We start from the raw sequence: 26,593 nt of genomic DNA on the forward strand, positions 1-26,593 counted from the left end.
CTCTCATTTCTGAAGGATGAGAGTTTTGCTAGATATTGTGTTCTTGGTTAACAGGGGTTTGGTTTTGTTTTGTTTTTCAGCACTTTGACTATGTCATCCCATTCTCTCCTTGCCTGCAGGGTTTCTGCTGAGAAATCTACAGAGATTCTAATGGAGATTCCCTTATATGTGACTGATGCTTTTGTCTTATAGCTTTTAGAATTCTTTCTTTGTCTTTGATTTTTGGCCATTTGATTATAATGTGCCTCAGAGAGGATCTTTTTGGGTTGAATCTAATTGGGGATCTTTGTGCTTCCTGGATCTAGATGTCCATGTCGCTCCCAAAACTTGTAAACTTTTCAGCTATTATTTTGTCAAATAGATTTTCTGTGCCTTTGTTTATCTCTTATCCCTCTGGCATTTCTATAGTACAGCTATTTCTTTGCTTAATGATTTCCCTTAAGTCTCATTGACTTTCTTCATTCTTTTTTTTTCAGGTTCAGACATGTATATATTTTTTACTTACAAGTTTTCATCTGACCAAAATTCAGCATAACCTTTATTGAACACTTAACAATTGTTTTGTATTTAAAATAACATTTCATTCAAACTTTATATAATTCAGTAAAGTTTTTGTACAGCAAGCAATGCTTAAAACCTGGAAAATCTGTAGAAAAGACATTTTCACACAAAATGAGGAAAGAAAAATGTGAGGTATCCCTCATACACACATATACATTCATTCTGGCCCAGGTACATGTGCACACACACACACGCACACCTGTGTGTTCACACAGACATATTCATTCTCACTCACAAAGTGGCTGCAGCATAGGCAAAAGATTGTAGGTCCAAAGGAAAACGACTGATTGTTCTAATAAAGAGTCCATGTAGCTAAGAAAAAACTAAAACAAAACACAGTAATCTTCTGAGGAAATTACTACCTCAAAAAATGTTCTCAAGGTGAATTTGAGATCTAAGCCTACTAAATTACTTTTGCACAACAGCTCCCTGCAGTCCAAGGCAACTTGTGCAAATAGAAGGAATCAAATGAAACTGGTTTCTGTACTTTCTTTTTCTTTTTTTTTTTTTTTTTTTTGAGGTGGAGTCTCACTCTGTCACCCAGGCTGGAGTGCAGTGGTGTGATCTCAGCTCACTGCAACCTCTGCCTCCTGGGTTCATGCCATTCTTCTGCCTCAGCCTCCCAAGTAGCTGGGACTACAGGCACCTGCCATCACGCCCAGCTAATTTTTTGTATTTTTAGTAGAGATGGGGTTTCGCCGTGTTAGCCAGGATGGTCTTGATCTCCTGACCTCGTGATCCGCCTGCCTCAGCCTCCCAAAGTGCTGAGATTACAGGCGTGAGCCACCTGTACTTTCTTAAACAAGGATGTAGGATGCTCACAGGTGCCTAGGGGCGCTCTCATCATGCCAGGTACTGCTGCAGTGCCATCTTTGCCTTGTCACAAAGGTCTGAATCTGGTGGCTGACTCGGTTTATGTAGAATATCTATGATGCCCATGTCTCATAATTTATCCTGGCATTCTTGTGAACCTTCTTCTTCATTCCATATGAGGTTTGATATACAAAACATAGCTGGAAGCTGCAGTTTGACATGTGAATGGTCCATGTAATATTTGATTTTCTGAAGGATATCATCATTGGTCATAATACATTCTTTTGCTGTTGTCTCATCTTTTATATTGGCTAAGATGCACAGTATCTACTCTTTGACCTTAAAGTTATGTTCCCCTTCCAGAATAAGGATGACAGCTTGCATAATTTACTTTCCATGAGTACTCATTATTTTATTATATGAAGCCAGGTCAAGAGGATATTTCTAAGAAGTCCCAGTGTCTTCATCAGGACATTCAAATCTGAATCTGATAATAACCAGAATAGCTGTTCAGCACTCAAGCTTTGTAACATGTCTGCTTTTATTTTTTGTTCAGCCTGAAATGCCATATTCATTAAATCCCAAATTCTGCTCACTCATAAAGCAGGATTTTCACTCTGGGTTAATCCACAAAGTAGCTTTACAACTCCTGATTTTAAAATTGACTCTTTCCTTGGAGAAAATTCAAGAAGATTATATACCATGGAAGATGCTGCTACTAGGATTTCATCTGGTGCATTTTGTAAAACCTTCATTAAAGGTTTTCACAGAGTGTGATCCTAGAAACTGTTTTGAAGCTGCTGCACAGATCTGGATAAATGGTGCAAACATCTGAGAGCAGGTAACCGCACCTTGACACTAGACTCAGACAAGCCAGTCACAATTCAGTCCATCATATTTTCAGTCTCAGGGCTTTTCTTCTGAATGTCTTCATCATTTGCTCTAAGAGAGTCGTAGAGATTGAATGCAGCCTGGCAGAGTTCATGAGCATGTTTTAAATCATGATCAAGCCTTTTACTATCAGTGATGGCACTCAATGAGTTGGGATACTTGAAATAGTCAGCAAACATGGCGATGAGGTGATCAGTTACACTAGCGATTCTCTGTAGCTCAATATCTGGTTCAATCAGATAGGCAAGTGTCTCAGCTCCTTTAACTCTCTCCTCTAGTAATCTCTTCTTACTGCATGTTTGAACCAAATAAGGCAATGTCTTTAATACAGTTGTTATCTGTCTGAATTGCTCCAGCTGTATACATGTAAGTTAAACATTTTGCTGATGTAAGCTGCATCTCAATATGCTTATCCCTCTGTAACATCGTCACAAAAATCTGTGATAACAATTCTCCATCAACTAAAACATTTACCAGGGTAAAACTGAGAAACATTTCAGTGCTTGCATTTGAACTTTGTAGAAAATGAGGTTAGTAGGTGAGCAATATTCTTAACTGCACCACGGCTAAATAAAATTGTTTGATGATCTGGCCCCTTTACAGCAGTGTGAGACGATCCGACCGATGTACTCCTGGATATAGTGGAACCTGCTAAGCAGTGCCATGAGGTGCGGTGTCACTGTGGCATCTGTAAACAGTAGCTCCTTTGGAGTGACAGGACTGGAGAATTCCAGTAACTTTCATTCATGGTCTGAGAGGAAGCTCATGCAGATTGGGGTCTCCAACAGGCACACCATCTTGAGCCTTCCCGTTTGGCTGCTCTCATTCTTTTTTATTCTCATTTTCTTTTATTTTTTATTCTCATTTTCTTTTCTGACTAGGTTATTTCAAAAGACCTGTCTTAAAGTTTCAGAATTCTTTTTCCTCCTTCCTCTTATCCTCCTTTTCCTCCTCTTCCTCCTTCTCCTGTGGTCTGTTGCCAGCCCCATTCTGCTTCCACTTCTTGTACTATGGGTATTGAGCACATCCTGAGTGCTCTTACAGTCTGGGGCCATGATGGCTGATGCCTTTACTCTGATCTAGTCCCAGTTGCTCTCTATCTTTCAGGGTCTTCTGGTAATTTCCATGTCCCTGATAGAGCCCCTTCTTGCTTTCTAGTATGGTTATGCATTCTCTCTCTCTCTCTTTCTCTTTCTTTCTCCTCCCTTCCTTCCCTTTCTTCCTTCCTTTTTTTCTTCCTTCCTTCCTTTCTTCCTTTCTTTCTTTCTTTCTTTTTTCTTTCTCTTTCTTTCTTTCCTTCCTTCCTTCTCTTTCTTTCTCTCTCTCTTTCTTTCTTTCTTTCTTTCCTTCCTTCCTTCTTTCTTTCTTATCATTTTGAGGGTTTTGTATGGGATGAGGAGACTGGTATATATACTCTGTTTACCTCCCTAAAAGCAGAAGTCTGACTTTTACAGTTCTATCACATATCTGACAGTTTGGGTCTCATCCACCCCCTCCCCACCACTTATCAGATATTTCAGATCCATGGTTAGACATAACTGTGGAGCACTGGCATTTTAAAGACTTACTGGGGAATATGCCAAGCTTATGGAATCCCCAGAGGAGTCCTCTTCTCTGAGACGTCTGAGGGAACAGTAGGTGCTGTCTAGGGAAAAAAGGTCAGCAGATGGCCGGCTGGCTGGTGGATGGTGTAGGAGTTGGGAAAAGCATGAACAAAAATGTGGACATATATGATAGAGTGTGTTGTGGTGGCCTTGTGGGGATCAGAGCAGAAAGAACAAAGTGTGGTGGGAGTCCCAGAAAGGAGGCATCTCTTTGAAGAGAAGCCGTAACACTACTGCCATGTGTTTTAGACATGAGACAATGACAGTCCTGTTCCACAGATAGTGGGGGCTGGAGAGAACAGAGTCTGCAGCCTGTAGTCCAGTAATCTCTCTCCTGCCCCAACAGCCCAGCAGTGGCTCAGGTGTGAGCTGATGTTTCTTGACCTTGACCAGTGCTAATTTCTTGTGAAGGATGCTTTAGTCTCAGGGCCCCTCACTCACACAGGACCCTTCCAAGGCTCTGGGAGAGTGGGAAGAACCCTGATTAGGTGTTTACATGGTCATATGTCTCCCTTAAAATATGAAAAAGTAAGACATTTTGTAGTATTGCTTTAAAAACATGCCCAAATTATATAAGCTTTTAGCCCCACAGAACTGGATTCTGCCCCTAAATGAAGGACTTAGTTTCAGTTAGCAGAGAAGTTGGATAAATAATCAAGCTGAAGAAAAAAGTATGAAAGATTATTCCACTTAGGGAAGACACACTACAGGTGAGCAGCCTTGGCTCTCAGAAAGTGAAATTTAAAAAGATCAGATGGTCTTAGCGGATGGTCTTAGGCCAAACTTCTTGACAGTGATGTTCAAGACTAAAGTGTGAATGACAACAGCAATGACTGATGATATGAATGTGATGTTTTTGGCCATTTTGCAGGACCAGGCAGTTAAATGGCACTTGTACCAGCTCGGTGGACATGGAGCTCTTCCTTCATTATTCCCTCATCCCATCAGTAAGTAAAGGCAGGGGAAGGGTGAGGAGGGCAGGAAAGGGCAGCTGGGCTGCTGCCAAACACAGATTCCCAAAGAGACCTGAGTAGATCAGAGGAAAGAGATCAGCTGAGTTTCCTTCTAAAATGTCTTACATTATATACCAAAAATATGGCAGAAGAAGGCTTTGTGGGCCCGAGAATCAGGCATATGGACTTTTAGGAGAGTGAAACAGGCTTTTCCAATGAAGTAATGATGGCTCTGAGGTCAGTTGGAAGATGTAGTTAAGGATATTGCAGACAGAAGGGGAGAGCACATGCAGAGGCTCTGGGGAGGGAGGGAGAAGGCAGAGTGGGAAGAGCTGAGAAGTTCAGCCATGGCTGGAGTGAGGAATTGAGGCAGAGAGGTCTGGGGAGGTGGGCGGGGCAGGCCAGGCAGAGCCCTTTGGGGCTCTGTGTTTAGTTTTGCCTTCATTCTAAGTACAGTAGGAAATAATGGAAGTGTTTCCAGCATGAAGATGGTGTGATCAGATTTATGTTTTTAAATGATCTCTCTGGTTGCAATGCGGAGATCGAGTTGGAGGTGGGCAAGAGATGAGGCAGGAAGACCAACTGGGAGACTTGCAGGGATCCAGGTGAGACGTGATTTTATCACATCCTAGATGATGATGTCAACTCCAGAAGTTCAGGAGGTGAAAACAATAGGACTTGTAATGGGCTGGATAGGAAGGTTAGGGAGAGGGGCAGGTTGAGGATGACTTAGGTTTCTAACTTGCACAATGAAAGGATGATGGTAGCTGTCATTTACTCATTAAGGAACATTAGAAGAGATCCAGGTTTGGGGCAGATATAAGACATACTTGGCCAGGCAAAGTGGCTCCTGCCTGTAATCCCAGCACTTTGGGAGGCCGAGGCAGGTAGATCACTTGAGTCTAGGAGTTTGAGAACAGGATGGGCAACATGGCAAAACCTCATCTCTACAAAAATTAGCTGGGGGTGGTGGCATGTGCCTGTGGTCCCAGCTACCCAGGAGGCTGAGGTGGGAGGATCAGCTGAGCCTGGGAATTTGAGTCTGCAGTCAGCCGTGGTTGTGCTACTGCACTCCAGCGTGGGTGACAAAGTGAGACGCTGTCTCAAATAAAAAGATGCATACTGAAGCTTTTGATACAAGCTTTGAGAAGCTTTCAATACATTAAAAAGAAATATCAACTGTGTAGTTGGCTAAATAGTTTTGGAGCTTATGGACAAGGTCGGGGCTGGAGATTCAAATTTAAGTCTTCTGCGTATTTATGGTTATTAAAACATGGACATGAGGCTAGGCACAATGGCTCACACCTGTAATCCCAGTGCTTTGGGAGGCCAGGGTGGAAGGATCACCTGAGGCCAGGACTTTGAGACCGTCCTGGGCGACATAAATGAGATCACCAAGAGAAGACCAGGTAAGATGAGTAGCCCTTGGACTGAGCTATAAGGAACTCTGCAGCAAGGGCTGGGGTAAAGAGTGATCCAGCAGAGAATGCTGAGGAATAATGGGGAAAAATCAAGAAAACATGGTTGTAATGAAGGCCTAGGGAAGAGAGTACTCAAAGAAGAGGGAATGGTCAACATTGTAGAATGCTGCTGGGAGATGAAGCTAGATTTGGACTTCAAGTATACACGGGACCAAGCCACAAAACAGTCATCAGTGACTTTGGCCATAGCTGTTTCAGCAGAGTGATGAGGGTAGAAGCCAGGTTCGGGGGTTGAGGAGCCAGTGAGAGGTGAGGGAATGGAGACACAAGTGTAGACAATTCTCAAGAAGTTTCTGATAAAGGCAGGAGAGAGAAAGAGCATCAAGTTTGTGAGAACATGACTGAATCCACAGAAAAGCAGCAAAGAAGCCTTTGCAACCTGGCAGTTATTACTGCCTTTTGACAGAAGAGGAAACTGAGGTACAGAAAAGTTAAATCTCTCTCTCAACCAGGATGTGAGAGAGACCAGATTTGAACATACATCTGTTCAGGGAAACAAAAGGAAAGGCTCAGTACAGAACATTCTGGTAGCTCAAGAGTGCATGCAGTCAGCCCCCTGGCTCTGGAGTTTGAGGTGTCACTAATGTTCTGTGCACTCTGCTAACCCACACGTTTGTTTTCAGGGAGGGCTCAGAGGCCATGCTGAGAATGAACATGCCCACTAACTCTCATCTTCTCTTCTTACAGCTCTTCATCATGTTGATCTTGTCCTTCCTTCAAAGATGAGAGCATTGTAGACAGAGAGATGATACCTCTTACCTGCTGGGGAACTGCTTTGGCATTATCATGTGAGTTGAGTCAACCCCTAAAGCTTGGGGTATCCTGTGGTTGGAGCCAATGCCAATTATGAGGTCAGATAGCTACCAGGACCTCTCCTCCACCTCTACCCCACTGTGCACAGCCCTGCCCCTCCGTGCCCCAACCCAACCAAAGCTCTCAGAGTTCAGAATTGGTTTCCAAGCCATTGCAGCTATCAGCACCCAGGGCTGCTCAAATATGCTTAAATCATCTCACAGAGACACAGCCTACTATGGAAAAGACCTTCCCACACCTGAGACTATGGCTACCTCAGGAGGCAGGAGGGAGAGAGCTCCCTGTGAATGGAGACAGCAAAGCTTCTTGTTAGGATGGCACCATGGGTCATGCACCAGGAGAGCTTTCAGAGCTTTTCTAGCTCTGCCATTTTGAGTCTCTGCAGCTCATATCACATTCTTCCTTGAGTTCTGATTGTTCGTATCTCTGTTTCATCACTTCTTATAATCATCTTCATCATCATGCAGTTAACATTTATTGCACACCATCTGTGACCCAAGCACTGAACCATTTGCTTTGCCTACATTATTCTGACAAATCCTCTTGCCAATCTAGCATGGTAGAAATTGTTATCCTCATGCAATGAATGAGGGAACTCAAGCTTAGAGAGGTTAAGTGACCTACCCACGGCCACACAGCTAACAAGTGACAAGACCTTTAGCCCAGATCAGCCTTATATTCTTTTGAATCCCCCCAGTGTTATAACCTTAGCAGGCTCAAGCTGTGGACATGCTGAGGTCTCAGCCAAGGGCTCTGGAGAAGAGAGAAAGCACAGATGTCAGAACTGAGGCAAGGGGTGACCTGAGCTGCAGGTGAGAGATTCATTCTAGATACCACCCACTGGGGCAGTCAGCACTTTCCAAACTGCCAGGTCTGAGACCCATTGGTTGAGGCATAGAAAGAGACTGAAGCTGGTGGATAAAGACCTTCAGTTCTGCCCTAGACATTTAGCATGTAGGGGCTGGCACAGGACTTTATAAAGTAGGAGGTCCATAGCAGTTACATTCAACTACTTTGAATTACATGGATAATGACACAGTTGACATGCTCCCTGGCTACTTTCCCACCTAAACCCCTGCTTGTCTGATAATTTTGGCCCACTATCTTCTCCGAGCAATAACCCCTCACGTGTGTGGCACTCTGCAGGTGATAAAGCAGTTCATCATTTGCTGTCCACAATGAATGTGATAGGGGCAGAGTAGGGGATGTGTCTCTGTTTTAAAGGTGAGGAAACTGAGTCTCACATAGCTCTTAAGTACTACAGATGGGATCTTGATTAGATTTCGATTCAGTTCTACAAAATGCATGTCCACAAACCTGCACTAAGCGCCTACTCTTTCCAAGGTCCATTGCTAGGTCCCCACCGCTAAGGGGTTTATAGTTAACTAAACAAGTGGAGAGCCACGGTTACAGGGAAGCAGAGATTCTAAGTCAGAGAGGAAATAATATGACAGAGATAGACCCTGTCTCAAAAGGGTCTGGTGTGGTGGCGCCCACCTGTAGTCCCAGGTACTTGGGAGGCTAAGGTGGGAGGATCGCTTGAGCTCAGGAGGTTGAGGCTGCAGTGAGCCAAAATTACACCATTCTACTCTAGCCTGGGTGACAGAGGTATGCTCAACAGGGACATGAACTTAATGCTGAGGGGACACGGATGGGGTAGCCTCACTGGCAGTGGGTGAACAGGGAGGCTTCCTGGAAGATGTGCTCCTTCTGCTGAGCCTTAAATGTGAAGGCGAGTGAGCCAATGGGACTCCCTGCCTGCAGTGCCTGGCTCTCCCTTCCCTCCTGAGTTTTCATTAAGGCCCGCTTTAAATGGCCGTTCCCTTTTCATTCATTCAAAGAGACTTTTTTCTTCTCCCAAATGCAACTGCTTCCTCTGACCTATACAAAGCTGTCTTGGTTAGAAGAAACAGATATTCACTCAAGCTTGTTTACATTAAAGGAAGAGAAAGGATTTTTCTTTTTCTTTTTTTTTTTTTTTTTGAGATGGGGTCTAGCTCTGTCACCCAGGCTGGAGTATAAGGATATAATTTTGGCTCACTGCAGCCTCAACCTCTTGGGCTCAGGCCATCCTCCCAGCTTAGCCTTCCGAGTACCTGAGACTACAGGTGGGCACCACAACACCCGGCTAATTTTTGTATGTTTTGTAGAAACAGGGTTTCTTGTTTCATGTTGCCCAGTCTGGTCTCAAGCTCCTGGGTTCAAGCAACTCGCCTATCTTGGCCTCCCAAAGTGCTGGGATTACAGATGTGAGCCACCGCACCTGGTGAGAAAGGATCTTTTTTTTTTTTTTTTTTTTTTTTTTTACAAAGTTAGAGTCTCACATAAACCAACAGAACAGGCCTCATGGGAACTGGATCTCTTGAGATGGGAATCTGTGGGAGATTGATTTTTTCTCTCTCTTTCTGCCCCTCTGTGTTACTGGTGCCTCCTCAGCACCGTTCTACCATTTTCCTCTCTGACTTAGAATCTCTGCTTCCCTGTAACCTTGGCTCTCCTCTGGCACTGACTCTGATCCCAACTTTTTATGACTTTCCAGACAAGTACTTTAACAGCTAACTTGTTCATGTCCTTAGGGTCACAGATTCAAAATATAAGATCAGACATCTGATCAGCCCATTCAAAGACAGGCCCATAGTCCAGTCAACTGTGGCTAGGAAGGCATGAATGTGTAGGGGAGACAAAATTATATCTCTACCCTCTTAAGTTTTTCAGCTGGGCCTGATAATTAAACTGACATAAGACAATAGGAGAAAAGTATACACATTTATTTAATATAAGTTTTAGGTGACACAGGAGCCCTTATAATGAAGTGAAGACCCAAATATACAGTTAGAGTTGAATACGTACACATTGAATTGGACAAATAGTTAAGTTGTGAAAAAGTAACTAAGTTGTGGGGGGAGACTAGAAGACAAGAGTTATTTAAATAAAGTCTGTACCAAATTCTCTTGGCCTCAACTTCCTGTCCCTGATGATAAGAATGTTACTTTCTTTCTGTATAGGGAGAGCATTTTTTACATAGAAATTTCATCTCCTGTTTTTAAGAAATAGCGTGAAGGTCAGAGTGATCTTCTTGTACCTGCTGTTTTTTGAATGTCTTTAATTCAAAATAGTCGATATGCCAGAGTGGCATATTTCAGGGTGCCTATTATTTACTTCTTCAAGCACAGACATAGCAAACGATACCTAGACCCTCATCAGGTATATTGGAAGGAAGAATTCTCATAGAATGTGGCTGGCTGAGGGCAGGCTTCCCCAAATCTGTCTTGGACCTACACCTTGTTTTGGTCCTTGAGTCATTCTGTCTGTGTCTCTTATAGATGAAACTCATCCCATTTTGCTGTCAAGGCTTCTGGTGTCCTTGCTGATATCTCCTGCTCATCTTGGAGCTCCTCCAGAGCAAGAGTTTTGTCCTCCTTACTTCAGTACCCTGAATTCATGCTTACCCCTAGGCCTGGCACAGAGAGCCCCACAAAATGTCAGTTGCAATAAGCAGCTGACTATTCAATAATCCCTCCTCAGGGTGGGATCTCTACTTTGGCGATGATCTGTGGGAATGTCTCAGAGCCACCTTCTGGCCTCACAAACTGTTTCTGTTGTTTGCAGGCCTCTGGACTTCGTGGGCACTTTCAGTAACCGATGGTCCTATGGAATCACCTTTGGGGCCACAGCTAATAAGGTCATGTTTTTGTTCTCAGAAGGCTACCAGCCCCTGCAGATCCCGCAGTGGGCCCAAGGTACTGGGGATACCTCATACCTGCTGGAAACTGCATCATGAAAATTCTTGCTCTCAGAGACCACATGGCACACGCTGTCTGGGATCAGAGGATAAACTCTGTGAATGGTCATGTTCTTGCCAGCCTGTTGCTTGCCCAGGGTCAACACCTAGCCCACAAATCTTCAAAGCTTCTTTGTGGGGCTTTCCCCAGTTACATTCAGAGGTCCTTTAGATATGATATATCAAGTCTTAGGAAGTAGGTTCTTCCTCACCTACCTGCCAAAAGCTCTCCTGTGTCATAGTCATGGCTGCCTTCTTGATGTTGATGAGCCCCATTCCTCCTCAAAGAACAATGCTTATGTTTTTGGCCATTAGTCTGAGGCATCGTCTTTCCCCATGCCTCATGCTCCATCTGGAGGAGTGTAACTCTAAGCTACAAGTTCACTTTTCCATGATACAATCATTCTCAAACCTCTCTGTCCAGTACAGTTCCCTCTCATGGGCTCCAAGCCTATGTGATCAAATGCCCGCTAACAGGTCATTAGTCTTTAAGAAAATGCAAATTAAAACCAAAATAATGCATCATTACACACCTCTTAGAAGTACACAGTTTGAGAAGTTTTGGCAAATATTTACATCAATGAAACCATCGCCACAATCAGGATAAGGAATCTCAGAGATTTCCTTGTTCCCCTTTGTAATCTCCCTTTTCCTCCCCTCTTCTGTCACATGCCCACTAATCTACTTAGTTTGCATTTTCCCGAATTTTGTATAAATAGAATCATACAGAATGTACTTTTTTTTTTGGTCTGGCTTCTTTCAGTCAGCATAGCTATTTTGAGATTCATACATATGTAACATGTGTTAGTAGTTTATCCTTTTTTCTTGCTGAGTAGTATTCCACTATATAAATTGACTACAATTTGTTTATCCATTCACTTCATGAGTAACATCTGATTTATTTCCACTTTTGGCCATTGCAAATAAAACTGCTGTGAACGTTTGTGTACAAGTCTTTTCATGTACCCATGCTTCAGTTTTCCTGAGTAAATACCTATGAGTAGAATGGTTGGATTACACAGACCATATAGTAGATCATATTTTTAAAGGCTGGATTACATAGATCATATAGTAGATCATACTTTTAAAGAAACTGTCAAACTGCTTTCCAAAGTGATTGTACCACTTTAGATTATCCCCATCAGTATGAGAGTTCCAGTTTCTCCAGCACTGGTACAGTCAATTTTTAAATTTTAGTTTCTAAATGTAAAAAATTTAATTTTTAAAATTAAATTCATTTTGTTAATTTAATTTTTTAAATTTTAAATTTTCTAAGAAGTGTATAGTGGTTTCTTATTGTGGTTTTAATTTGCATTTTTATAGTGACTAATGCTGTTGAGCATATTTTTATGTGCTTATTTGCTATTCCTGTACCTCCTTTGATGAAGCTTCTGTTCAAATCATTTGCCTGTTTTCAAAAATTGGTTTTTTAGCTTTCTTTTTAGTGAGTTTTAAGAGTTTTAAAAATATATTTTGGGTATGAGACCATTATCATACACATATATGAATTGCAAATATTTTCTCCCAATCTGTGGCTCGAATTTTAATCCTCCTAACAAACTCTTTTGAAGAGTTGACATTACTTTTGATGAAATCCAATTGACTCATTTTTTTTCTTTTATAGATCAGGCTTATGGTGTCATATAAGAAATATTTTCCTAAGATAAGGTCATGTAGATATTCTCCTGTATTTTTTTCCAGAGTTTTATAACCTCAAATTTTGCTTTGAGGTCTACAATACATTTTGAGCTAATTTTTTTTTGCATATAGTATATAGTAGGAGGTGTGGATTAAAGTTTTTTTTTTGCCTTTGGATTGCCATATAAAACGTATTCTAGCACTATTTGCTACAAAAGCCTGTCCTTTGTCCACTGATATGCCTTTGCACCTTTGTTGGAAAGCAATTGGTCACATATGTATGGGTCTATTCTTAGACTCTCTATTTTCTCCTATTGATCTGTTTGTCTATCTTTGCACCAATACCATACTGTCTTCATTATTATAGATTTATAATAAGTCTTGAAATCAGGTGGTATTAGTCCTTCAGATACATTTTTATTTCAAAGTTATTTTTGCAATTCTAGATTCTTTGCATTTCTACATGAATTTTAGAATAAATTTGTCAATTTATACAAATAATGCTGAAATTGGGATTACATCATTTGTACATTTTTAGATCCATTTTGGGAAAATTGTTATTTTAACAATAGTGAGTCTTCTGACCCATAAACACAATATATATCTCCTTTTATTTAGAGTTCATTACTTTCTCTCAGCAATGTTTTGTAGTTTTCAGTGAATAGATCTTTCACATCTTCTGTCAGATTTATATCTGTTTTATATCTTTTAATGTTCATTGCTAATATATAGAAATACAACTGATTTTTGTATGTTGATGTTATATCCTACAACCTTGCTAAACTCAGTTAGTAGTTCCAGTAGCTTTTTCTGTAGATTGTATAGTATTTTGGACATACTACATCATATTATCTGTGAATAAAGGCAGTAGTTTTATTTCTTCTTTTCCAATATGGAGGTCTTTTATTTTATTGTTAATGTTTTTCCCAATTGCAGAGGGTGAAATTTCCAGTAAAATGCTCAGTACAAGTGATCAGACCAAGCATCCTTCTCTTGTTCCTCATATTAGTGAGAAAGCTTGTTTTTTAAAAAACACGGATTTTGAACAATTACATTACTATGTGTCAAATTTTCTTGATATTTCTCATGCTTGGAGTTTGTTGATTTCTGCATTTTGATTTTTCCTCAAATTTAGAAAAATTTTGGGCATGGTGAGGTGGCTCACGGCTATAATCCTAGCACTTTGGGAGGCTGAGGCAGGAGGATTCTTGAGCTCAGGATTTTGGGACCAGCCTGGGCAACTTAGTGAGACCCCATCTCTACAAAAATAAAAATAAAATTAGTTGGGCATGGTGGCACATGCCTGTATTCCCCGCTACTTGGAAAGCTGAGGCAGGAGGAGCACCTGAGCCTGGGTTGTCAAAGCTGCAGTGAGCCATGATTGTGCCACTGCATTCTAGCCTGGGCTACAGAGCAAGACCCTGTCTCAAAAAAAAAAAAAAAGAAAAAGAAAAAGAAGGAAGGAAGGCCAGTCTCAGTGGCTCACATCTGTAATCCAAGCACTTTGGGAGGCTGAGGTGGGTGGATCACTTGATGTAAGGAGTTCAAGACCAGCCTGGCCCACATGATGAAATGCCATCTCTACTACAAATACAAAAAAAATTAGCCAGCTGTGGTGGCATGCACCTGTAGTTCCAGCTTCTTGGGAGGCTGAGGCAGGAGAATCACTTGAACCCAGGAGGCAGAGGTTGCAGTCAGCCCAGAGTGCATCACTGCACTCCAGTGTAGGTGACAGAGTGAGACTCTGTCTCAAAGAAAAAAGGAAAAGGAAGGAAGGAAGGAGAAAGAAAGAGAGAAAGAAAGAAAGAAAGAAGAAATTTTGGCCATTATTTCTTTAAATATTTTTTCTCTCTTTTCCCTCCTTGAGGACTACAATTTTAGGGCATTGGAGTTGTTGCATAGTTAATTGATGCTCTGTTCCTTTAAAAAAATTGTATTGTAGTAAAATATATGTAACATAAATTTTTCATTTCAATCATTTTTAAATATACAACCCAGTGGCATTAATTACATTCACAATTTTGTGCAACCATTACAAATATCTATTTTCAAAACTTTTCATCACTCCAAACATTATTAAGCAATAACTCCTCTTTCCTCCTCTCCTCAGACCCTGGTGTCATAGTCCAGTCTCATGCTGCTATAAAGAAATACCTGGGACTGGGTAATTTGTAAAGGAAAGAGATTTAATTGACTCACAGTTCCACAGGGCTGGGGAAGCCTCAGGAAACTTACAATCGTAGCAGAAGGGGAAGCAAACAGCAAACATGTCCTTCTTCACGTGGTGGCAGGAGAGAGAATAAGAGCTGAGCAACGGGGGAAGCCCTTTATAAAACCATCAGATCTCGTGAGAACTTACGCACTATCATGAGAATAGTATGGGGGAAAATCACCCTCCCATGATTCAATTACCTTCCACTGGGTCCCTCCACCACACATGGGGACTATGGGAACTACAGTTCACGATGAGATTTGGGTGGGGACACAGCCAAACCATATCACCCTGATAAGCTCTAATATACTTTCTATCTCTGTGAATTTGCCTCTTCGAGACATTTCTTTTAAACAGATTCAAACAATATTTGTACTTTTGTGTCTGGCTTTCTTTCACTTAGCATAATATTTTCAAGAATCATTCATGTTGTAGCATAGATCAGAACCTCATTCCTTTTTACGGCTGATACTGCATTATATCATGGCTGGTAATCCATTTATTTGTTGATGAGCACTTGAGTTGTTTTAATCTTTTGGCTATTGTTAATAATGTTGTAGTGAACATTGGTACACAGGTATCTGTGTCCCCATCTTAAATTCTTTTGGTTATATACCCGACAGTGGAATTGCTGGCTCACTTGCTAAGTTAAATCTATGCTTACCTTTTTGAGGAATTGGCACACTGCTTTTCACAGTGGCTGCACCATTTTATATTTTTACTAGCCATGTGCAAGTGTTCCAATTTCACCACATCCTAGCCAACCCTTACTGTTCTCTCTCTTTCTCTCTCTCTCTCTCTCTCTCTGTGTGTTTGTTGATTATAACCATCCTAATAGGTGTGCAGTAGCATCTCATTGTTGTCTTGATTTCGTTTCCCTAATGACTAGTGATGCTGAGCATCTTTTTATGTGCTTATTGGTCATTTGTATATCTTGTCTGGAGACTTGTCTATTGAAGTCCTGGCCATCTTTTTACTGAGTTGTTTATCTTTTTGATGTTGAGTTGTAGTTCTTTATATATTCTGTATATTAAATCCTTATGTGATATATGATTTGCAAATGCTTTCTTATTCTGTAGGTTTTCTTTTCACTTTCTTGATAATGTCCTTTAATACATAAAAGTTTTCAATTTTGAGGAAGTCCAAATTTTGCTTGTGCTTTTGATGTCATGAAGTTTTTCAGTCTGACTGGTGAGAACAGGCACTATCCTGGCACTTTGTGACTTGCAGACATGTTTACCTCTAATCTTTTCAAGTGGTTTTTTCCTACACAACCGTGCTGGTCAGCACTCAGCTGAAGACTCAGGGGAACCCTCTACCGATCTCTGTCTCCCAGAACTCTCTCTTTGTGCAGCTGCCTCCTCTCCAGTACTATCTCCTGCGAATTCTAGCTGTCTTTGTCTTCCCAGAGTCTCAGTTCTTTCTCCTCAACTCGGGGAACCTGCAGGGCTCTGCCTGGGTTTCCCCTGCCTGTACTACATTCTGCATTAAGGTAGGGAAATGGTGGGGCTCACCTTGTTTGTTTCCTGTCCTTCAGTGATCATTTTCCTCTGCTGCCTGAAGTCCAGTGTCTTGAAAGCAGTTGTTTTATATATTTGGTCTGGTTTTTGTTTCATGTGGAAGTGTAAATATAGTGTGTACTTTATTTTCAGGTGCTCTTCATATATTCAGGATATCAATTTTCTGCTTGTTTTACTTTGGTCTTCATTTCTGAAATGATTTTTTCCTTGTATTTATAATTTTTTTCTTGAGTTATCTAACCTGTCGTCAAATCTTTCTTTTCTTTAATCACTTCCTTTTATAGTTTTTCAAATTCTGATTTATAGATTATTTGTTCATAGATGCTATCATTTTCTTAATTTTTTTAGCTTATGTTGAAATATTAGATTACAGTTTCCATCTGTCTTACAGGCCTCTTTCTGGAGTGGTTTTGTGATCTGTAGTGCTATTTTTCTGCTCTTTATCCTTTTTTTAAATAATAACTTTGAATTTTTTTTTTTTGAGATGGAGTATCACTCTGTTGCCCAGGCTGGGGCACAATGGCATGATCGCAGCTCACTGCAACCTCTACCTCCCAGGTTCAAGCGATTTTCCTGCTTCAGTCCCCCAGTGGCTGGGACTACAGGCACCCATCTGTGCCTGATTTTTAAGTGAAATAAGTTTTCTTATAAATTCAAGAAGGAAGGCTGGGTCAGACATTATTTCTTACTTTGTGGCTTTAGAGTTCCCTTTTTTGTTTTCACAATGTGACTATATCTCTGTTTCTTCTATCTATCTATCTCATTATCATTATTATTTATCATCTACCTAATATCTATCATCCATCCATCATCTATCTACTATATACCTATCTATCTATCTATCCATCCATCTATCTCCTCATATTTTCTGAGTCTGCCTCTCTTTTCCACCCTTGTCCAGACAAATTATTTCCTAGCTACTCCTCATTTTGGATTCTACTGCTAGCAATTTATGCTCAGTAAAGGGCTTTGTCCTGGGAGGAGCCTTAGGTTATTAGTATAGGAATTTCCGGGGGCTTAGACAACTCCAGCATCTTCAGATCCTACTAAGGTCTGCTTACACTCACCTATGAATTGTGGCCTTCAGCTGCATTTTCTCGTTAATATCTGCTGCAAATTTTTGAGTTCTTCAGCTCTTGGGTCTTCAGACCCAAGAGCCTTTCTTCTGCTTCCTCTTACTCAGACATTGACGTCAAATGGGTCTTGTCACCTAGATTTGTTGCAGATGTTGTCTGTGAGTCTTTAGTTTTGTCTTTCTAGCTGCTCTGTTTCTGTGGGGGGAATTCAGGGAGATTAGAATGTTTTGCTGCTGCAACTGCTATCCTCACCACAATTATTGTTTTTGTATTGATCTTCCTCACCAGCCCTCCAGCATTCACATTCACACATGTGCCGACCAGCCAATTATCTCCCATCCTTTGATGTCCTTCCTTCCCTACTTCTCTCCATTGTAGTCTCCTGCTTATGTTGCATTGCCTCCAGGAAGCCTTCCGTGATACCCCAAGTGAGGTCAGTGGCTTCATCTTTTGTGTCCTCGCAGCAGGCTGAATGTCCCTATCTTACAGGTCATTTCATGCCACTGACTTTCCCACTTGTCTCCCCTGTTGGACTGTCAGTATCTCAAAGCAAGAACCTTGTCCATTCCTCCTGTCCTGAGTGCCTGGCCCAGGACTCAGCTCAGAGTAGACACTTTGAAAAGTATCTAATCATTATGCATGATTATATTATACTGGATGCTGTTAGTCCATCTCAGAGCTAGTTAGTGGCAGGATTAACATGACTGTTCCCTTATATGTAAAGTGCGCTGTAGTTGACAAGCAGCTTTGCACATACCATAGCCCCTCTCTCTAAGTCTGGTGCACTTGCAGTCGCTATTTTTGCTCATTCATTTGTCTGTTTGTTTATGTAGTCTGTCTCCATCCATCACACTGTGAGCTTACCAAGTACAGAGACCAAGTCTCCTTCATGTCAATAGTAAGCCCAGTGCCTGGCGCCGAATAGGGACCAGGAAGGGCCTGTTGTATGAACGAATGAAAGCCATTCCTGCATTCCTGCTGGTCCTAAGCTGGGGCTGTTCCATTCTTTTCACTGGGTCCTGAGGTCCCTGACTGGAAGTCCGCATGAGGTACCACAGCTTCCCTGGGACTCCCCCGAACCCAGTGGTAAGAGAAGCTCACAGTGTCTCTGGCCCTGTCTCCCCAGCCTTTGAGCTTCTGATTGGAGGCATTGAAGTCGGCCTGTCCCACTTCCCCTTCTTTGCCTGCCTCTCGTCGGAATTCCAGCTGGTCAGCTCCATCTTGGGCTTCTGCTACTCTGATCTGGTAAGACGGTCTCTGCCTGCCCCCACTCCCCCAACTCCTTGAGTGTGACTGAACTCTGGGCGCAGGGCTGGAGGTGATCTGGGAGCTCCCCTTGGAGGATACCTTTGCCCAGAACTGAGGCCCAGGGAGGGCAGGAGTGACTTGTCCAAGGTCCCATTGTGGGGACTGCATTAGAGGCTTCAGAAGGCCAGGCTGGCATTCTATCTGCTTCACACAAGGCTGCTTGTCATTAGAATGTTTCTAGAAGTCAGGGATTTTGGATAACTCATTTCTGTTTTTTTTTTTTCAAATAAATTATAATTTTATTTTATTTATTTCTATTTCAATAGCTTTTGGGGTACAAGTGGTTTTTGATTACAAGGATGAATTGTATCACAGTGAAGTCTGAGATTTTAGTGCACCTGTCAGCCTAGTAGTGGACACTGTACCTGATCTGTGGCTTTTTATCCTTATTCCTGCTCCCACCCTTCCCCCTTCTGAGTCTCCAGCGTCCATGATATCACTCTGTATGCTTTTGTGCACCCACAGCTCAGCTCCTACTTAGAAGTAAGAATATGGTATTTCGTTTTCCATTCCTGAGGAAAACTCATTTCTGTAAACTGCTGGGGGCCCCACTGGAAGACTCAGGAGCCCTTTTCAAGGCTTTTCATCGGTGCTGCCATGGCTTCTCTCGGGAGCCTTGGAGAAAGTTCCCGTGCCTTAGCTGGGCATTCAGGGCCATCACAGTCTGGCCTCTCCTTTTCCCTCCATCCCCCAACAATGTCTGGCATACAACTCCACCCATACAAGACTCCTCCATTCCTTCATCCATCCACTTATTCATTCAACAACCATTGCATCCCTACTACGAGCCAGGAAATACACTGGAGAACAAGACAGACTTGCATGGACCAGGTGTTCTGGCCTCTTTGTCTGTATGTCCCCATTCCCTGTGTGGGTCATGTCTAGAGATAAGTATACACTCCTGCTACAAGGACAATCACTCCCACCAGATGAAAGCTTCTTGATCTTCATGTTGAGCTCTGTGCCCTCAGTGCCAGGCACCAGACTTAGCACAGAGCTGGCACCAGAGAACAGTTGTTGACTGAAAACCCCTCCAACAAGTCTACTCTCCAGCTGCGGAGACTCATTTCCTTGTTCCCAACTCCTTTGCTGGGCTCTTTCCCCCAACCAGCATTTTCTGTGAGGCTGGGATTCTCCCACTTAGTCAGAGATGATGGGCAGGGGCCTCACAAGCAACTGATACACCAGTGGCTACAATCATAAAGTTTGTAAGTGATCTGCTTTATAGAAATTTAAATAGAGGGTATCCAGGGTTAGATGTGGCATAACATCATCTCATCAGCCTCTGACAGACGTTTGCCCAGGAGAGAACATGGTGGTGGGAATCGATCAGCACCTTGGGCACCATGGGAGTATGGCCCAAGCTGGAACAGAACCAGGAATGCATGTGGGGGGTGGGGTGGGGTAAAGCATCAAGGCTCATGACTTCTGAGCAGAGTCTACAAACAGGTCACATAGAGGCAGGAAGATCCTTAGCCATGGAGTCAGGAGACCTGAGTCTGCCCATGCCCATGTGTGACTTGGATAAATCCCTTGCCAACCCTGGACTTCCAGCTCCCACCTGAATGGTGAGGGGAGGGAGGATGAGCTCTCTAAGGGCCTCCTGCTCTGCCGTCACGGATTCCAAGACTATGTCCTCCATGAGGGCAGGTGAATGAATGAATTTAGTGTGTGCCTACTTTGGCACAAGCAGGGTGACCGACTGGGGAGAGATGTCCATGGAGGCCCGGGAATCAGCCCTCCCAAGGGGGACAGGTAGGTGTGGGTGGGTGGGATCTGAGCCATTTTCACGGGGGCTGCTCCTGGGGCTGTGCTGGGAGGGAACCCCAAGGCCCCAAACTCTGTTTCTATTCCTGCAGGTTTGCTGTCACCATTATTCAAGTTTCACAGTGTCCCCACGGGCAGGTAAGTCTCTATTGGCCTTTTTTGGGGTTTTCAGTCCTATCACCATGGTCAAGTTGCTGTGTGATCTTGAACAAGCCTCTGTCACTACTGGGGCTCCACTTTTTCATTTGCATAAAAAGGTAGTTGTTGTCGTTCGTGATGCTTCCATTTGTAGAGCACCCCATGTTCATCAAGGTGTGCATTCACAGACAGGTGTTTTCTCATTTACTCCTCAGAAGTAAAGCTTCTGTTCCATTGGCCTGTGTGTCTGTTTTTGTACCAGGGCCATGCTGCTTTGGTCACTGTAGCCTTGTAGATGGTTTAAGTCAGGTAGTGTGATGCCATCAGCTTCATTCTTTTTGCATAGGATTGCTTTGGCTGTCTTCCACATAGCTAGTCAATCACAAGTTGTGCTAATGTGTTCTGCCGTTTCTCAAACCTGTCTCTCCTCTCAATTCTTACTACCACCCTGGTTTTCAGACCATCAACATCTCTCACCTAAGCTGTGTAGTAGCCTCCTAACTGATCCCTGACACTTCAGTGTTGCCCCTCTGCCCTCACCACTGAAACACAGACTACCTAAAACAAAATTATCCTGAGACTTCCCTTCTTAAAATCCTTTTTTGACTCCTATTTCCTATTAAATAATGTCTATACTTCTTAATGTAATGGACAGGCATCTCCTGTTCCTCTCTGCTCTACCTTTGTTACCTATTTGTAGTAATAGGTAAATGTTTATAATTTCCCCTGAAGTCCCTCTGCTATTCAGTGCTTCCATGTATTTGTTCATTATGATCTTTTTCTCTGAAACTCCCTCACCACTTTTCCTCCTGGTTAATTATTTACTGTCCTTCAAGCCTAAGCTCAAGCATCATCTTTTTCAGAAAACCTACTTTGAAGTTCCAGAGTGGACCAATGGCCCCTTTTAATGCTCCCCATAGTCATCGTGCTGATCTCTATCTTTTCACTTTAAACATGCTTTTAAACCTACTTCCTGAGTATAAAGTTTGTTATAATTTTAATATTTGTATTTTTCTATGTCTTGTTCTTCTCTTTATGGTTTCTGTTGACTCCTGCTTATGGTAGTTTGACACTTCAACTCTTTGTTAAATTTTATAAATAGCTCATATTTGTCTAAACTTTAACTTTGGGTTTCCTGAGAGACCGAAATTGAGATGATTTGCTTGGTTTCTGCTTGGCTCTGGAAGCAGGACCAATCAGGAACCATTCTAGTTAGATTTATTGGTTTGAGTTTTCTTGGACTATGAGTATGGTGTAAATTCAAATTCCAGCATAAAAGTAAAGCTGGTTAGAAAACATTAGGGAAGACTATTAAAATTATTAATGTTTTACAACCCACCGCCTGCAGAGACTGATTTGCTTATTGGTTCACTTGTCATATCCTTCCAGCTTTGTCTTTTCCACTAAATATGTAGCCCATTTTGGTGCCTGGATTTATGTGGAGGTCTCAGATTCAGTTTCCTACCTTATCAGGTTCAAATCCTGTTAGTCAGTTAACCAGAAAAATTCTAGATTCCCAGGAATGTGTCAGAGCATTTCAGTGTCCCCTATTGACATCTCATTCCCAGCTCTTTAAAAAAGAAAGTATTTTTATTTTCCTATTGATTGCCCCAATTCCTATGTACTACCTCAGGCAGCCGCAATATTAACTAACAAAGCTCTAGGTTTTTGGTTTTGGCACACTTCCAGGGCATCTCTGGCTTCTGTGTTGACTGATGACTTTAGTTTCACCTCTAGATTGTTTGCGTGCATGCGTGTGTGTGTGTGTAATCATTTTGTACTTCCTCTACATTTTTGTGAGTTCAGAAATGTATTTAAAAGCGTATTTGGGGTCGGGCGCAGTGGCTCACACCTGTGATCCCAGCACTTTGGGAGGCTGATGCGGGAGGATCACCTGAGTTCAGGAGTTCGAGACCTGCCTGGCCAACATGGCAAAACCCCATCTCTACTAAAAATACAAAAGTTAGCTGGGCATGGTGGCGTGGACCTATAATCCCAGCTACTAGGGAGACTGAAGCAGGAGAATTGCTTGAACTTGGGAGGCGGAGGTTGCAGTGAGCCAAGACCACACCATTGCACTCCAGCCTGGACAACAGAGCGAGACTCTATCTCAAAAAAAAAAAAAAAAAAAAAAAAAGTGTATTTGGAAGTGATGTCAGTAAAAATGGCAAGCTAGGAACCTTCTAAAATTCCTGTCTTCATAAAAGCAACTCAGAAAAATAGAAGCAACTTTTTCAGAACTCCGGAAAATATCCAAAGGTTTGCTGTAATCTCGGAGCATTTATTCAAGAACATAGGCTGAATTTTGGTTAGAATAGTGAGATTTGTAATGTTCTTATTTGCTCTATGCTCATCACATCCTCCCAGCTACATGGTAGCCTTGAAAACCAACATCCTACAATCTTGGTGAAAAACAAGCTCCTGGGAGCCATAGAAAGAAACAAAAGAGGTTTGGGACTCATTCCTTTTTTTTCCTCTCCCTCCCACTGTCAGACAGCATGGGCTGTACCGTGCATTCCCTCCTCTGGAGAAATGATGGTAGGTTTCCACATCTGTGTAGCATCTCCCGCTCTGGAGATCACCCTGAGCCCTTGCATCTCCCACCAGGTAAGCCAAGCCCAGTCCAGGCCTGGCTGTGAGCCTGGGCCTGGCACTCAATTTTCCTGAGTCATTATTTACACAACAGAAATAATGAAAGTGTCTACCATGAAGGGATGCTGTGAGGACTAAATGAGCTGTATACATAAAAGGCCTGGCCCAGAATGAGCACTCAGAGATGGTGGATGTAGTTTTTTGTGCGAATAAAGTGTTCAGACAGGTTCCGCAAGCTTCATCTGCGTAAAGTTTTAACATGATCTCTGGATGCTTGTCAGATAATTGTCTAGATTAATCACTTGAAAAGCATTACACACACACACACACACATACACTGTTTTGTGATCTGCTTTTTTCAACAAAACAAAATACTGGAACAAAATTTCATGTTTCAATTCTTCATCTAGATCATAATTGTAAATAGCTAATTGTGTGGTGATACGCAGTGATATTTAATCAGTCCCGTATTCTGAAACATTGAGGTGGTTTTCCACTTGTCATTGTTTGAAAAACTTCATGCCAAATGTATTTACGATATTATTCCCCTTATAATATTATTCCCTTGCCAGATTTTCTAGAATACATTTCTAGAAATGAAATTACTGATTTGAAGAATATGCATGTTTTTAAGGTTTTGATTTCTGTTACCACTAGAACTTTGCTAAAATAATTTTACTGAGAAAGTGATGTGGTACATTTTTGTATGAGAGCCATGTTTTTTATTTTTTAAAAATTGCAGCAAAATACACTGAAGAGTGCAGTTCAGTGGCATTAGACATTTATGTTGCTCTGTTACCATTACCACTGCCCATCCTCACACTCTTTTCATCTTGCAAAGCTGAGACTTCTTATTTTTAACCTCTAAGTTTTATAAAATTAAATAGATTAAATAATATTTAGGGTTGGTGTGAGTGTGGAGAAGTGGGTCCCCTCATTTACTGGTAAGTTGATGTAATTTTGTTGATCAAAAAATTGGGAATATTTATGCTTTGTAAAAAAGTACATACTGTTTGCCTCAATGAATCCACTTATAGTCTACAAAAGTAGTCACACAAGCATGGATATTATAGTCACATATTCAAAGATTTTTCTGTAGCATAATTTATAATATAAAACAACTGAAAAGAATCTATAAGTTTATCTATAATGAGATTTTAAGTTACGGTTACATGTGATGGTTAAGCAGAATGAGTTGTATCTGTGTGTATAGTTGTATCTGTGTGTAATGAAAAGGTGTGCAGGATAACTGTAAGTACAAAAAAACAAACTTCAGAACAATGTTTATAGTATGATCCTATTAAAAAACCACAATAATAATACATTACTTGGCAAAATTCTCCTTCATAAATAAGGGAGGGATAAAGACTTCTTCACACAAACAGAGGGAGGAAGTCCATTAACACTAGACTTGCCTTACAAGAAATACTAAAAGGAGTTCTTCAAACTGAAAATGAAAGGCTGCTAATTAATCATATGAAAACATATGAAAGTATAAAATTCACTGGTAAAGGTACATATATAGTCAAAAGTATTAAGAATAACTTCATAATAACTCATTAAGTGATACACAACATAAAAGATGTAAAGTGTGATATCAAAAACAGAATGTGTATGTGTGTGTGCAGAGCTTTTATACAGGATCAAAGTTAAGTTGTTGTTAGCTTAAAATGGACTAGTATAACTATAAGATGTTTTAATATGCCTCATAGCAATCATGAAGCAAAAACTTAGCAGATACGCTAAGATGAAGAGAAAGGAATCAAAGCATACCACAACTGAAAATCCTCGAATCACAAATAAAGACAGCAAGAGAGGAAAAAAATAGTAAAAGAGCTGCAAAGCAACCAGAAAACAATCAACAAAATGACAATAATCAATCCTTCTCTATCAATAATTACTTTAAATGTAAATGAACTAAATTTGCTGATCAAAAGACACAGGGTGGCTTTATGGATTTAAAAAATACAAAAACAAGGCCAGGCCTGGTGGCTCATACCTGTAATCCCAGCACTTTGGGAGGCAGATGTGGGTGGACTGCTTGAGGCTGGGAGTTCGAGACCAGCCTGGCCGACATGGCAAAACCCCGTCTCTACTAAAAATACAAAAATTAGCTGGGTGTGGTGGCAAATGCCTGTGGTTGCAGCTACTAGGGGGGCTGAGGCAGGAGAATTGCTTGAACCTGTGAGGCAGAGTTGCAGTGAGTCGAGATTGCGCCACTGCACTCTAGTCTGGGAGACAGAGTGAGACTGAGTCTCAAAAAAAAGAGAAAAGAAAAAACAAGACCCAACTATATGTTGCTACAAGAGACTCACTTCACCTTTAAAGCTACACACAGACTGAAAGGGAAGGGACGAGAAAAGATATTCCATGCAAATGGAAAGCAAAGAGCACAGGGGTAGTTATACTAGACAAACTAGGCTTTAAGTCAAAAACTAACAGGACAAAGATGGTTATTATATAATGATAGAGGAGTCAATTCATAAAGAGGATAGAACAGTTGTAAATAATATGCACCCAACATCGGGTACACTTAAATATATAAGGCAAATATTCACAGATCTAAAGGGAGGAATAGACGGCAATACAATAATAGCAAGGGACTTTAATACTCCACTTTCAACAATGGATAGATCATTCAGACAGGAAAACAGTAAGAAAACATTAGACTTGAACTAAACTTTAAACCAAATGGACTTAACAGACATAAAGAGAACATTCCATCCAATAACAACAGAATGCACATCTTCTCAAGCACACATGGAACATTCTCCAGGACAGAGCAAATGTTGGGCCACAAAGCAAATCTTAATAAATTTGAGAAGATATAGATCATATCAAGTTTCTTTTGGGACCACAATGGTATGAAACTGGAAATCAATAATGGGAGAAAAACGGGAAAGTTCACAGATACATGGAAATTAAACAACATGCTTCTAAGCAATCAATGGGTAAAAGAAGAAATCAAAGGGGAAAATGAAACATTTTGAGACAAAGAAAAATGGAAACAAAACATACCAAAACCTATGGGATGCAGCAAAAGCAGTTCTAAGAGGGAAATTTATAGCAAGAAAAGCCTGCATTAAAAAAGAAGAGGCCAGCCATGGTGGCTCACACCTGTAATCCTAGCACTTTGGGAGGCCAAGGTGGGTGGATCACTAAAGCCCAACAGTTTGAGACCAGCCTGGGCAACATACGGGATCCCTATCTCCACACACACACAAAAATAATAAAACATAAAATTAGCTGGGTGTTGTGGTACGAGCCTGTCATCCTAGTTACTCGGGAGGCTGAGGTGGGAGGATCACTTGAGCCTGGGAGGTCAGGGCTGCAGTAAGCCGAGATTGTGTCTCTGCACTCCAGCCTGGGCAGCAGAGCGAGACCCTGTCTCAAAAAAAAAGGGATTTGGACTTGATGGTTCTGTGGTAAACAAAAGAAGTGAGGT

General features: G+C 41.6%; 1 long non-coding RNA gene and 1 pseudogene across 4 annotated transcripts in view; one reads left to right on the forward strand and one right to left on the reverse strand.

Annotated features, from left to right (window-relative positions):
- Nucleotides 1-26,112, forward strand: part of LOC105376041 (uncharacterized) — a 52,879-nt gene extending 26,767 nt beyond the window's left edge. For 2 of the 4 annotated variants that reach the window (XR_007061485.1, XR_007061484.1), the window contains 3 exons: nt 4,741-4,816; nt 6,991-7,091; nt 10,726-13,426. This is a non-coding gene — a long non-coding RNA (uncharacterized LOC105376041). Of the gene's footprint in view, nt 1-4,740; nt 4,817-6,990; nt 7,092-10,725; nt 13,427-18,469; nt 18,589-20,510 lie in introns of those variants that run through there. The other 2 variants (XR_007061486.1, XR_007061487.1) reach the window with 2 other exon arrangements.
- On the reverse strand, nt 1,348-3,086 carry ARMC8P1 (armadillo repeat containing 8 pseudogene 1; annotated as a pseudogene).
- Nucleotides 26,113-26,593: the final 481 nt, after the last annotated feature.

This window comes from Homo sapiens, chromosome 9 (genome assembly GCF_000001405.40).
Source record: "Homo sapiens chromosome 9, GRCh38.p14 Primary Assembly".
Lineage (NCBI taxonomy): Eukaryota > Metazoa > Chordata > Mammalia > Primates > Hominidae > Homo > Homo sapiens.